The 12,291-nt window shown below is 67.7% G+C and overlaps 5 non-coding genes across 5 annotated transcripts, besides 2 other annotated features; all 5 read left to right on the top strand.

The window, feature by feature from the left end:
• Positions 213 to 1,034: an enhancer, noted in NCBI's record as "H3K27ac-H3K4me1 hESC enhancer chr1:228755369-228756190 (GRCh37/hg19 assembly coordinates)". NCBI's record gives its function as "activates a minimal SCP1, AML or CMV promoter by ChIP-STARR-seq in primed H9 embryonic stem cells {active_cell/tissue: H9 hESC(primed)}" and the evidence as "EXISTENCE:reporter gene assay evidence [ECO:0000049][PMID:30033119]".
• RNA5S5 (RNA, 5S ribosomal 5) lies at positions 1,306 to 1,426 on the top strand. Its single transcript, NR_023367.1, has one exon. It is a non-coding gene; the product is annotated as an RNA, 5S ribosomal 5 (ribosomal RNA).
• Positions 1,427 to 3,546: 2,120 nt separating this feature from the next.
• On the top strand, positions 3,547 to 3,667 carry RNA5S4 (RNA, 5S ribosomal 4). The gene has a single exon (NR_023366.1). It is a non-coding gene; the product is annotated as an RNA, 5S ribosomal 4 (ribosomal RNA).
• A 2,120-nt stretch (positions 3,668 to 5,787) lies between these two features.
• RNA5S3 (RNA, 5S ribosomal 3) lies at positions 5,788 to 5,908 on the top strand. The gene has a single exon (NR_023365.1). It is a non-coding gene; the product is annotated as an RNA, 5S ribosomal 3 (ribosomal RNA).
• Positions 7,613 to 8,423: an enhancer, noted in NCBI's record as "H3K27ac-H3K4me1 hESC enhancer chr1:228747980-228748790 (GRCh37/hg19 assembly coordinates)". NCBI's record gives its function as "activates a minimal SCP1, AML or CMV promoter by ChIP-STARR-seq in naive H9 embryonic stem cells {active_cell/tissue: H9 hESC(naive)}" and the evidence as "EXISTENCE:reporter gene assay evidence [ECO:0000049][PMID:30033119]".
• Positions 8,029 to 8,149, top strand: RNA5S2 (RNA, 5S ribosomal 2). Its single transcript, NR_023364.1, has one exon. It is a non-coding gene; the product is annotated as an RNA, 5S ribosomal 2 (ribosomal RNA).
• On the top strand, positions 10,270 to 10,390 carry RNA5S1 (RNA, 5S ribosomal 1). The gene has a single exon (NR_023363.1). It is a non-coding gene; the product is annotated as an RNA, 5S ribosomal 1 (ribosomal RNA).
• Positions 10,391 to 12,291: the final 1,901 nt, after the last annotated feature.

The raw sequence follows: 12,291 nt of genomic DNA, 5'->3' as shown, positions 1-12,291 counted from the left end.
CACCCGGGATTCCCAATGCCCTCCCGCTGCGTGTCGACGACTCCAGTCCCGAGGACTCGCCAGAGACCCAGGCCTCCGGGCCCGCCCGGTGCCACGGCTCCCGCCAAACGGGCGGGCGCGCTCTGCAAATCTCGGGGCCCGCCGCAAGGCACCCAGAGCACAGGGAGGTGCCAAGAAAGGCAGGAGCCTACGAAACCCACCTCCAAAGCAAGCAATTCATCCAAGAAAACGCCCGCCTCAGCGCTCCGTTGGTCCTCTCGCACGGACCGCCTGGACCCCGTGTTCTGGGCGCAGCCCAAGCCCCCTCCACCCTATCCCGGCCTGCTCAAGAGGGCGCTGCCTAACGGAGCCGGGCGCTTCCTCTCTAAGGCTCTATCGCTCTCGCTCTCTAGCTCCCTCCGCCTCTCTCTTCTGGGTTTCCCCCTGGACCTCGCGCTACTTTTGTCGTTTTCCCTCTGTCTCTCTGTCTCTCTCTCTCTCTTTCTCTGTGCCTCTCTCTTTCTCAGCCTCTCTGTCTGTCTCCTTCCCTCTCGCCCTCCCCTGTCTCTCTCGATCGCTGTCTCTCTCCCTCCCTCGGTTTCTATCTCTCCATCCATCTCGTCCTTGCTCTCCTTCAAGCCGCGTGTGTGTGTGCGTGCGTGTGCGCGTGCGTGTGTGCGTGTGTGTCTGTGTGTGTGTGTGTGTCCGCGCGCGCGGGTGCGAGCGCGCCCGGGTGTGTCTGTGTGTGGGGGAGTGGATTTGCTCCTGGTGGCGGTGGGGTGTGTCTGGGTTTCTCTCAGGCCCTCTCACCCGAGATCAGGCCGCCGCCTCTAGTGCCAGCCCGGGGCAAAACAGGGCCACCCCCCGACCCGCTACACCCCACGCCCTCTTGCCCCCCCGGCCGGGTCTTGGTCGGGACAAGCGACCGTGGTGGGGGCGTTGTGAGAGAAAGGCCCCGCGCGGCTGGGCCGGCTGTTCGCCTTCGGCCAGCCCTGACGGCTCTGGGTGGGTGGGGCAAGAGGGGGCCTCGCAGGAGCCCCTGTGCGGCGAGGGATCCAAAACGCTGCCTCCGCGACAGGGCGGAGGACCGGAGGGCGTCCCAGGATCGTGGGCCCTGGGCCCTGACGCCTCGGAGCACTCCCTGCTCCGAGCGGGCCCGATGTGGTGGAAGCTCGGGAGCGCGGGAGCCGGGGGAAGGCCGCGGGCCAGCGGCTCGGGGGTCCCCGATCCGAGCCCCGCGGCCCCGGGCTGGCGGTGTCGGCTGCAATCCGGCGGGCACGGCCGGGCCGGGCTGGGCTCTTGGGGCAGCCAGGCGCCTCCTTCAGCGTCTACGGCCATACCACCCTGAACGCGCCCGATCTCGTCTGATCTCGGAAGCTAAGCAGGGTCGGGCCTGGTTAGTACTTGGATGGGAGACCGCCTGGGAATACCGGGTGCTGTAGGCTTTTTCTTTGGCTTTTTGCTGTTTCTTTCCTTTTCTTCCAGACGGAGTCTCGCCCTGTCGCCCAGGCTGGAGTGCAGTGGCGCCATCTCGGCTCACTGCAAGCTCCGCCTCCCGGGTTCACGCCATTCCCCGGCCTCAGCCTCCCGAGTAGCTGGGCCTACAGGCGCCCGCCACCACGCCCGGCTACTTTGTTCTATTTTTCCTAGAGACGGGCTTTCACCCTGTTAGCCGGGATGGTCTGGAGCTCCTGACCTCGTGATCCACCCGCCTCGGCCTCCCAGAGTGCTGGGATTACAGGCGCGAGCCACCGCGCCCGCCCGGCCTGCTGTAGGCTTTTGTGGCTTCCCCGCTGCCTCCCTTCCCCCCACAGTCGCCATGCTACCCAACCTCCCCTGACTCTGCTCCCCCTTTACCGCCCACCTACACCCCCGCCGCAGCCGCAGCCGGGGTCCTCCTGCTGGGGGTCCGCCCCTACTGCACGCCGGCCCGGCAGCAGCATCCCACCGCTTCCGCCTCGCCGCCGCCCCGCCAGGAGCCCGGCTCCAGCCTGGGAGGGCAGGGGGCCGGACCCCAAAGGCGCAGCCGCTGGGTTCCCTGCCGTTCGCGGTGCCTTCCCGCTCCCGGAACGCCCAGGCGATTCAATTCACCCATCGGGCGCCGTCGTCGCACCCTTCCAAACCGGGGGAAGGGGCGGGCAGGGGCAGCGGGTGCCACAGACGCCAGCCAAGACGTCGGCTCCGGAACGCATGGGCTGCTTTACCCGGGGGAAGGACATTGCTTCGCCAGCCACCGGGAAAACAGGCCCTGTGCACCCGGGATTCCCAATGCCCCCCGCTTCGTGTCGACGACTCCAGTCCCGAGGACTCGCCAGAGACCCAGGCCTCCGGGCCCGCCCGGTGCCACGGCTCCCGCCAAACGGGCGGGCGCGCTCTGCAAATCTCGGGGCCCGCCGCAAGGCACCCAGAGCACAGGGAGCTGCCAAGAAAGGCAGGAGCCTACGAAACCCACCTCCAAAGCAAGCAATTCATCCAAGAAAACGCCCGCCTCAGCGCTCCGTTGGTCCTCTCGCACGGACCGCCTGGCCCCCGTGTTCTGGGCGCAGCCCAAGCCCCCTCCACCCTATCCCGACCTGCTCAAGACGGCGCTGCCTAACGGAGCCGGGCACTTCCTCTCTAAGGCTCTATCGCTCTCGCTCTCTAGCTCCCTCCGCCTCTCTCTTCTGGGTTTCCCCCTGGACCTCGCGCTACTTTTGTCGTTTTCCCTCTGTCTCTCTGTCTCTCTCTCTCTCTTTCTCTGTGCCTCTCTCTTTCTCAGCCTCTCTGTCTGTCTCCTTCCCTCTCGCCCTCCCCTGTCTCTCTCGATCGCTGTCTCTCTCCCTCCCTCGGTTTCTATCTCTCCATCCATCTCGTCCTTGCTCTCCTTCAAGCCGCGTGTGTGTGTGCGTGCGTGTGCGCGTGCGTGTGTGCGTGTGTGTCTGTGTGTCTGTGTGTGTGTGTGTGAGTCCGCGCGCGCGCGTGCGAGCGCGCCCGGGTGTGTCTGTGTGTGGGGGAGTGGATTTGCTCCTGGTGGCGGTGGGGTGTGTCTGGGTTTCTCTCAGGCCCTCTCACCCGAGATCAGGCCGCCGCCTCTAGTGCCAGCCCGGGGCAAAACAGGGCCACCCCCCGACCCGCTACACCCCACGCCCTCTTGCCCCCCCGGCCGGGTCTTGGTCGGGACAAGCGACCGTGGTGGGGGCGTTGTGAGAGAAAGGCCCCGCGCGGCTGGGCCGGCTGTTCGCCTTCGGCCAGCCCTGACGGCTCTGGGTGGGTGGGGCAAGAGGGGGCCTCGCAGGAGCCCCTGTGCGGCGAGGGATCCAAAACGCTGCCTCCGCGACAGGGCGGAGGACCGGAGGGCGTCCCAGGATCGTGGGCCCTGGGCCCTGACGCCTCGGAGCACTCCCTGCTCCGAGCGGGCCCGATGTGGTGGAAGCTCGGGAGCGCGGGAGCTGGGGGAAGGCCGCGGGCCAGCGGCTCGGGGGTCCCCGATCCGAGCCCCGCGGCCCCGGGCTGGCGGTGTCGGCTGCAATCCGGCGGGCACGGCCGGGCCGGGCTGGGCTCTTGGGGCAGCCAGGCGCCTCCTTCAGCGTCTACGGCCATACCACCCTGAACGCGCCCGATCTCGTCTGATCTCGGAAGCTAAGCAGGGTCGGGCCTGGTTAGTACTTGGATGGGAGACCGCCTGGGAATACCGGGTGCTGTAGGCTTTTTCTTTGGCTTTTTGCTGTTTCTTTCCTTTTCTTCCAGACGGAGTCTCGCCCTGTCGCCCAGGCTGGAGTGCAGTGGCGCCATCTCGGCTCACTGCAAGCTCCGCCTCCCGGGTTCACGCCATTCCCCGGCCTCAGCCTCCCGAGTAGCTGGGCCTACAGGCGCCCGCCACCACGCCCGGCTACTTTGTTCTATTTTTCCTAGAGACGGGCTTTCACCCTGTTAGCCGGGATGGTCTGGAGCTCCTGACCTCGTGATCCACCCGCCTCGGCCTCCCAGAGTGCTGGGATTACAGGCGCGAGCCACCGCGCCCGCCCGGCCTGCTGTAGGCTTTTGTGGCTTCCCCGCTGCCTCCCTTCCCCCCACAGTCGCCATGCTTCCCAACCTCCCCTGACTCTGCTCCCCCTTTACCGCCCACCTACACCCCCGCCGCAGCCGCAGCCGGGGTCCTCCTGCTGGGGGTCCGCCCCTACTGCACGCCGGCCCGGCAGCAGCATCCCACCGCTTCCGCCTCGCCGCCGCCCCGCCAGGAGCCCGGCTCCAGCCTGGGAGGGCAGGGGGCCGGACCCCAAAGGCGCAGCCGCTGGGTTCCCTGCCGTTCGCGGTGCCTTCCCGCTCCCGGAACGCCCAGGCGATTCAATTCACCCATCGGGCGCCGTCGTCGCACCCTTCCAAACCGGGGGAAGGGGCGGGCAGGGGCAGCGGGTGCCACAGACGCCAGCCAAGACGTCGGCTCCGGAACGCATGGGCTGCTTTACCCGGGGGAAGGACATTGCTTCGCCAGCCACCGGGAAAACAGGCCCTGTGCACCCGGGATTCCCAATGCCCCCCGCTTCGTGTCGACGACTCCAGTCCCGAGGACTCGCCAGAGACCCAGGCCTCCGGGCCCGCCCGGTGCCACGGCTCCCGCCAAACGGGCGGGCGCGCTCTGCAAATCTCGGGGCCCGCCGCAAGGCACCCAGAGCACAGGGAGGTGCCAAGAAAGGCAGGAGCCTACGAAACCCACCTCCAAAGCAAGCAATTCATCCAAGAAAACGCCCGCCTCAGCGCTCCGTTGGTCCTCTCGCACGGACCGCCTGGACCCCGTGTTCTGGGCGCAGCCCAAGCCCCCTCCACCCTATCCCGGCCTGCTCAAGAGGGCGCTGCCTAACGGAGCCGGGCGCTTCCTCTCTAAGGCTCTATCGCTCTCGCTCTCTAGCTCCCTCCGCCTCTCTCTTCTGGGTTTCCCCCTGGACCTCGCGCTACTTTTGTCGTTTTCCCTCTGTCTCTCTGTCTCTCTCTCTCTCTTTCTCTGTGCCTCTCTCTTTCTCAGCCTCTCTGTCTGTCTCCTTCCCTCTCGCCCTCCCCTGTCTCTCTCGATCGCTGTCTCTCTCCCTCCCTCGGTTTCTATCTCTCCATCCATCTCGTCCTTGCTCTCCTTCAAGCCGCGTGTGTGTGTGCGTGCGTGTGCGCGTGCGTGTGTGCGTGTGTGTCTGTGTGTCTGTGTGTGTGTGTGTGAGTCCGCGCGCGCGCGTGCGAGCGCGCCCGGGTGTGTCTGTGTGTGGGGGAGTGGATTTGCTCCTGGTGGCGGTGGGGTGTGTCTGGGTTTCTCTCAGGCCCTCTCACCCGAGATCAGGCCGCCGCCTCTAGTGCCAGCCCGGGGCAAAACAGGGCCACCCCCCGACCCGCTACACCCCACGCCCTCTTGCCCCCCCGGCCGGGTCTTGGTCGGGACAAGCGACCGTGGTGGGGGCGTTGTGAGAGAAAGGCCCCGCGCGGCTGGGCCGGCTGTTCGCCTTCGGCCAGCCCTGACGGCTCTGGGTGGGTGGGGCAAGAGGGGGCCTCGCAGGAGCCCCTGTGCGGCGAGGGATCCAAAACGCTGCCTCCGCGACAGGGCGGAGGACCGGAGGGCGTCCCAGGATCGTGGGCCCTGGGCCCTGACGCCTCGGAGCACTCCCTGCTCCGAGCGGGCCCGATGTGGTGGAAGCTCGGGAGCGCGGGAGCCGGGGGAAGGCCGCGGGCCAGCGGCTCGGGGGTCCCCGATCCGAGCCCCGCGGCCCCGGGCTGGCGGTGTCGGCTGCAATCCGGCGGGCACGGCCGGGCCGGGCTGGGCTCTTGGGGCAGCCAGGCGCCTCCTTCAGCGTCTACGGCCATACCACCCTGAACGCGCCCGATCTCGTCTGATCTCGGAAGCTAAGCAGGGTCGGGCCTGGTTAGTACTTGGATGGGAGACCGCCTGGGAATACCGGGTGCTGTAGGCTTTTTCTTTGGCTTTTTGCTGTTTCTTTCCTTTTCTTCCAGACGGAGTCTCGCCCTGTCGCCCAGGCTGGAGTGCAGTGGCGCCATCTCGGCTCACTGCAAGCTCCGCCTCCCGGGTTCACGCCATTCCCCGGCCTCAGCCTCCCGAGTAGCTGGGCCTACAGGCGCCCGCCACCACGCCCGGCTACTTTGTTCTATTTTTCCTAGAGACGGGCTTTCACCCTGTTAGCCGGGATGGTCTGGAGCTCCTGACCTCGTGATCCACCCGCCTCGGCCTCCCAGAGTGCTGGGATTACAGGCGCGAGCCACCGCGCCCGCCCGGCCTGCTGTAGGCTTTTGTGGCTTCCCCGCTGCCTCCCTTCCCCCCACAGTCGCCATGCTACCCAACCTCCCCTGACTCTGCTCCCCCTTTACCGCCCACCTACACCCCCGCCGCAGCCGCAGCCGGGGTCCTCCTGCTGGGGGTCCGCCCCTACTGCACGCCGGCCGGGCAGCAGCATCCCACCGCTTCCGCCTCGCCGCCGCCCCGCCAGGAGCCCGGCTCCAGCCTGGGAGGGCAGGGGGCCGGACCCCAAAGGCGCAGCCGCTGGGTTCCCTGCCGTTCGCGGTGCCTTCCCGCTCCCGGAACGCCCAGGCGATTCAATTCACCCATCGGGCGCCGTCGTCGCACCCTTCCAAACCGGGGGAAGGGGCGGGCAGGGGCAGCGGGTGCCACAGACGCCAGCCAAGACGTCGGCTCCGGAACGCATGGGCTGCTTTACCCGGGGGAAGGACATTGCTTCGCCAGCCACCGGGAAAACAGGCCCTGTGCACCCGGGATTCCCAATGCCCCCCGCTTCGTGTCGACGACTCCAGTCCCGAGGACTCGCCAGAGACCCAGGCCTCCGGGCCCGCCCGGTGCCACGGCTCCCGCCAAACGGGCGGGCGCGCTCTGCAAATCTCGGGGCCCGCCGCAAGGCACCCAGAGCACAGGGAGGTGCCAAGAAAGGCAGGAGCCTACGAAACCCACCTCCAAAGCAAGCAATTCATCCAAGAAAACGCCCGCCTCAGCGCTCCGTTGGTCCTCTCGCACGGACCGCCTGGCCCCCGTGTTCTGGGCGCAGCCCAAGCCCCCTCCACCCTATCCCGGCCTGCTCAAGAGGGCGCTGCCTAACGGAGCCGGGCGCTTCCTCTCTAAGGCTCTATCGCTCTCGCTCTCTAGCTCCCTCCGCCTCTCTCTTCTGGGTTTCCCCCTGGACCTCGCGCTACTTTTGTCGTTTTCCCTCTGTCTCTCTGTCTCTCTCTCTCTCTTTCTCTGTGCCTCTCTCTTTCTCAGCCTCTCTGTCTGTCTCCTTCCCTCTCGCCCTCCCCTGTCTCTCTCGATCGCTGTCTCTCTCCCTCCCTCGGTTTCTATCTCTCCATCCATCTCGTCCTTGCTCTCCTTCAAGCCGCGTGTGTGTGTGCGTGCGTGTGCGCGTGCGTGTGTGCGTGTGTGTCTGTGTGTCTGTGTGTGTGTGTGTGAGTCCGCGCGCGCGCGTGCGAGCGCGCCCGGGTGTGTCTGTGTGTGGGGGAGTGGATTTGCTCCTGGTGGCGGTGGGGTGTGTCTGGGTTTCTCTCAGGCCCTCTCACCCGAGATCAGGCCGCCGCCTCTAGTGCCAGCCCGGGGCAAAACAGGGCCACCCCCCGACCCGCTACACCCCACGCCCTCTTGCCCCCCCGGCCGGGTCTTGGTCGGGACAAGCGACCGTGGTGGGGGCGTTGTGAGAGAAAGGCCCCGCGCGGCTGGGCCGGCTGTTCGCCTTCGGCCAGCCCTGACGGCTCTGGGTGGGTGGGGCAAGAGGGGGCCTCGCAGGAGCCCCTGTGCGGCGAGGGATCCAAAACGCTGCCTCCGCGACAGGGCGGAGGACCGGAGGGCGTCCCAGGATCGTGGGCCCTGGGCCCTGACGCCTCGGAGCACTCCCTGCTCCGAGCGGGCCCGATGTGGTGGAAGCTCGGGAGCGCGGGAGCCGGGGGAAGGCCGCGGGCCAGCGGCTCGGGGGTCCCCGATCCGAGCCCCGCGGCCCCGGGCTGGCGGTGTCGGCTGCAATCCGGCGGGCACGGCCGGGCCGGGCTGGGCTCTTGGGGCAGCCAGGCGCCTCCTTCAGCGTCTACGGCCATACCACCCTGAACGCGCCCGATCTCGTCTGATCTCGGAAGCTAAGCAGGGTCGGGCCTGGTTAGTACTTGGATGGGAGACCGCCTGGGAATACCGGGTGCTGTAGGCTTTTTCTTTGGCTTTTTGCTGTTTCTTTCCTTTTCTTCCAGACGGAGTCTCGCCCTGTCGCCCAGGCTGGAGTGCAGTGGCGCCATCTCGGCTCACTGCAAGCTCCGCCTCCCGGGTTCACGCCATTCCCCGGCCTCAGCCTCCCGAGTAGCTGGGCCTACAGGCGCCCGCCACCACGCCCGGCTACTTTGTTCTATTTTTCCTAGAGACGGGCTTTCACCCTGTTAGCCGGGATGGTCTGGAGCTCCTGACCTCGTGATCCACCCGCCTCGGCCTCCCAGAGTGCTGGGATTACAGGCGCGAGCCACCGCGCCCGCCCGGCCTGCTGTAGGCTTTTGTGGCTTCCCCGCTGCCTCCCTTCCCCCCACAGTCGCCATGCTTCCCAACCTCCCCTGACTCTGCTCCCCCTTTACCGCCCACCTACACCCCCGCCGCAGCCGCAGCCGGGGTCCTCCTGCTGGGGGTCCGCCCCTACTGCACGCCGGCCGGGCAGCAGCATCCCACCGCTTCCGCCTCGCCGCCGCCCCGCCAGGAGCCCGGCTCCAGCCTGGGAGGGCAGGGGGCCGGACCCCAAAGGCGCAGCCGCTGGGTTCCCTGCCGTTTGCGGTGCCTTCCCGCTCCCGGAACGCCCAGGCGATTCAATTCACCCATCGGGCGCCGTCGTCGCACCCTTCCAAACCGGGGGAAGGGGCGGGCAGGGGCAGCGGGTGCCACAGACGCCAGCCAAGACGTCGGCTCCGGAACGCATGGGCTGCTTTACCCGGGGGAAGGACATTGCTTCGCCAGCCACCGGGAAAACAGGCCCTGTGCACCCGGGATTCCCAATGCCCCCCGCTTCGTGTCGACGACTCCAGTCCCGAGGACTCGCCAGAGACCCAGGCCTCCGGGCCCGCCCGGTGCCACGGCTCCCGCCAAACGGGCGGGCGCGCTCTGCAAATCTCGGGGCCCGCCGCAAGGCACCCAGAGCACAGGGAGGTGCCAAGAAAGGCAGGAGCCTACGAAACCCACCTCCAAAGCAAGCAATTCATCCAAGAAAACGCCCGCCTCAGCGCTCCGTTGGTCCTCTCGCACGGACCGCCTGGACCCCGTGTTCTGGGCGCAGCCCAAGCCCCCTCCACCCTATCCCGGCCTGCTCAAGAGGGCGCTGCCTAACGGAGCCGGGCGCTTCCTCTCTAAGGCTCTATCGCTCTCGCTCTCTAGCTCCCTCCGCCTCTCTCTTCTGGGTTTCCCCCTGGACCTCGCGCTACTTTTGTCGTTTTCCCTCTGTCTCTCTGTCTCTCTCTCTCTCTTTCTCTGTGCCTCTCTCTTTCTCAGCCTCTCTGTCTGTCTCCTTCCCTCTCGCCCTCCCCTGTCTCTCTCGATCGCTGTCTCTCTCCCTCCCTCGGTTTCTATCTCTCCATCCATCTCGTCCTTGCTCTCCTTCAAGCCGCGTGTGTGTGTGCGTGCGTGTGCGCGTGCGTGTGTGCGTGTGTGTCTGTGTGTCTGTGTGTGTGTGTGTGAGTCCGCGCGCGCGCGTGCGAGCGCGCCCGGGTGTGTCTGTGTGTGGGGGAGTGGATTTGCTCCTGGTGGCGGTGGGGTGTGTCTGGGTTTCTCTCAGGCCCTCTCACCCGAGATCAGGCCGCCGCCTCTAGTGCCAGCCCGGGGCAAAACAGGGCCACCCCCCGACCCGCTACACCCCACGCCCTCTTGCCCCCCCGGCCGGGTCTTGGTCGGGACAAGCGACCGTGGTGGGGGCGTTGTGAGAGAAAGGCCCCGCGCGGCTGGGCCGGCTGTTCGCCTTCGGCCAGCCCTGACGGCTCTGGGTGGGTGGGGCAAGAGGGGGCCTCGCAGGAGCCCCTGTGCGGCGAGGGATCCAAAACGCTGCCTCCGCGACAGGGCGGAGGACCGGAGGGCGTCCCAGGATCGTGGGCCCTGGGCCCTGACGCCTCGGAGCACTCCCTGCTCCGAGCGGGCCCGATGTGGTGGAAGCTCGGGAGCGCGGGAGCCGGGGGAAGGCCGCGGGCCAGCGGCTCGGGGGTCCCCGATCCGAGCCCCGCGGCCCCGGGCTGGCGGTGTCGGCTGCAATCCGGCGGGCACGGCCGGGCCGGGCTGGGCTCTTGGGGCAGCCAGGCGCCTCCTTCAGCGTCTACGGCCATACCACCCTGAACGCGCCCGATCTCGTCTGATCTCGGAAGCTAAGCAGGGTCGGGCCTGGTTAGTACTTGGATGGGAGACCGCCTGGGAATACCGGGTGCTGTAGGCTTTTTCTTTGGCTTTTTGCTGTTTCTTTCCTTTTCTTCCAGACGGAGTCTCGCCCTGTCGCCCAGGCTGGAGTGCAGTGGCGCCATCTCGGCTCACTGCAAGCTCCGCCTCCCGGGTTCACGCCATTCCCCGGCCTCAGCCTCCCGAGTAGCTGGGCCTACAGGCGCCCGCCACCACGCCCGGCTACTTTGTTCTATTTTTCCTAGAGACGGGCTTTCACCCTGTTAGCCGGGATGGTCTGGAGCTCCTGACCTCGTGATCCACCCGCCTCGGCCTCCCAGAGTGCTGGGATTACAGGCGCGAGCCACCGCGCCCGCCCGGCCTGCTGTAGGCTTTTGTGGCTTCCCCGCTGCCTCCCTTCCCCCCACAGTCGCCATGCTTCCCAACCTCCCCTGACTCTGCTCCCCCTTTACCGCCCACCTACACCCCCGCCGCAGCCGCAGCCGGGGTCCTCCTGCTGGGGGTCCGCCCCTACTGCACGCCGGCCGGGCAGCAGCATCCCACCGCTTCCGCCTCGCCGCCGCCCCGCCAGGAGCCCGGCTCCAGCCTGGGAGGGCAGGGGGCCGGACCCCAAAGGCGCAGCCGCTGGGTTCCCTGCCGTTCGCGGTGCCTTCCCGCTCCCGGAACGCCCAGGCGATTCAATTCACCCATCGGGCGCCGTCGTCGCACCCTTCCAAACCGGGGGAAGGGGCGGGCAGGGGCAGCGGGTGCCACAGACGCCAGCCAAGACGTCGGCTCCGGAACGCATGGGCTGCTTTACCCGGGGGAAGGACATTGCTTCGCCAGCCACCGGGAAAACAGGCCCTGTGCACCCGGGATTCCCAATGCCCCCCGCTTCGTGTCGACGACTCCAGTCCCGAGGACTCGCCAGAGACCCAGGCCTCCGGGCCCGCCCGGTGCCACGGCTCCCGCCAAACGGGCGGGCGCGCTCTGCAAATCTCGGGGCCCGCCGCAAGGCACCCAGAGCACAGGGAGGTGCCAAGAAAGGCAGGAGCCTACGAAACCCACCTCCAAAGCAAGCAATTCATCCAAGAAAACGCCCGCCTCAGCGCTCCGTTGGTCCTCTCGCACGGACCGCCTGGCCCCCGTGTTCTGGGCGCAGCCCAAGCCCCCTCCACCCTATCCCGGCCTGCTCAAGAGGGCGCTGCCTAACGGAGCCGGGCGCTTCCTCTCTAAGGCTCTATCGCTCTCGCTCTCTAGCTCCCTCCGCCTCTCTCTTCTGGGTTTCCCCCTGGACCTCGCGCTACTTTTGTCGTTTTCCCTCTGTCTCTCTGTCTCTCTCTCTCTCTTTCTCTGTGCCTCTCTCTTTCTCAGCCTCTCTGTCTGTCTCCTTCCCTCTCGCCCTCCCCTGTCTCTCTCGATCGCTGTCTCTCTCCCTCCCTCGGTTTCTATCTCTCCATCCATCTCGTCCTTGCTCTCCTTCAAGCCGCGTGTGTGTGTGCGTGCGTGTGCGCGTGCGTGTGTGCGTGTGTGTCTGTGTGTCTGTGTGTGTGTGTGTGAGTCCGCGCGCGCGCGTGCGAGCGCGCCCGGGTGTGTCTGTGTGTGGGGGAGTGGATTTGCTCCTGGTGGCGGTGGGGTGTGTCTGGGTTTCTCTCAGGCCCTCTCACCCGAGATCAGGCCGCCGCCTCTAGTGCCAGCCCGGGGCAAAACAGGGCCACCCCCCGACCCGCTACACCCCACGCCCTCTTGCCCCCCCGGCCGGGTCTTGGTCGGGACAAGCGACCGTGGTGGGGGCGTTGTGAGAGAAAGGCCCCGCGCGGCTGGGCCGGCTGTTCGCCTTCGGCCAGCCCTGACGGCTCTGGGTGGGTGGGGCAAGAGGGGGCCTCGCAGGAGCCCCTGTGCGGCGAGGGATCCAAAACGCTGCCTCCGCGACAGGGCGGAGGACCGGAGGGCGTCCCAGGATC

This window comes from Homo sapiens, chromosome 1 (assembly GCF_000001405.40).
Source record: "Homo sapiens chromosome 1, GRCh38.p14 Primary Assembly".
NCBI classification, from domain to species: Eukaryota; Metazoa; Chordata; class Mammalia; order Primates; family Hominidae; genus Homo; species Homo sapiens.
This window is presented reverse-complemented; position numbering and strand designations above follow the sequence as displayed.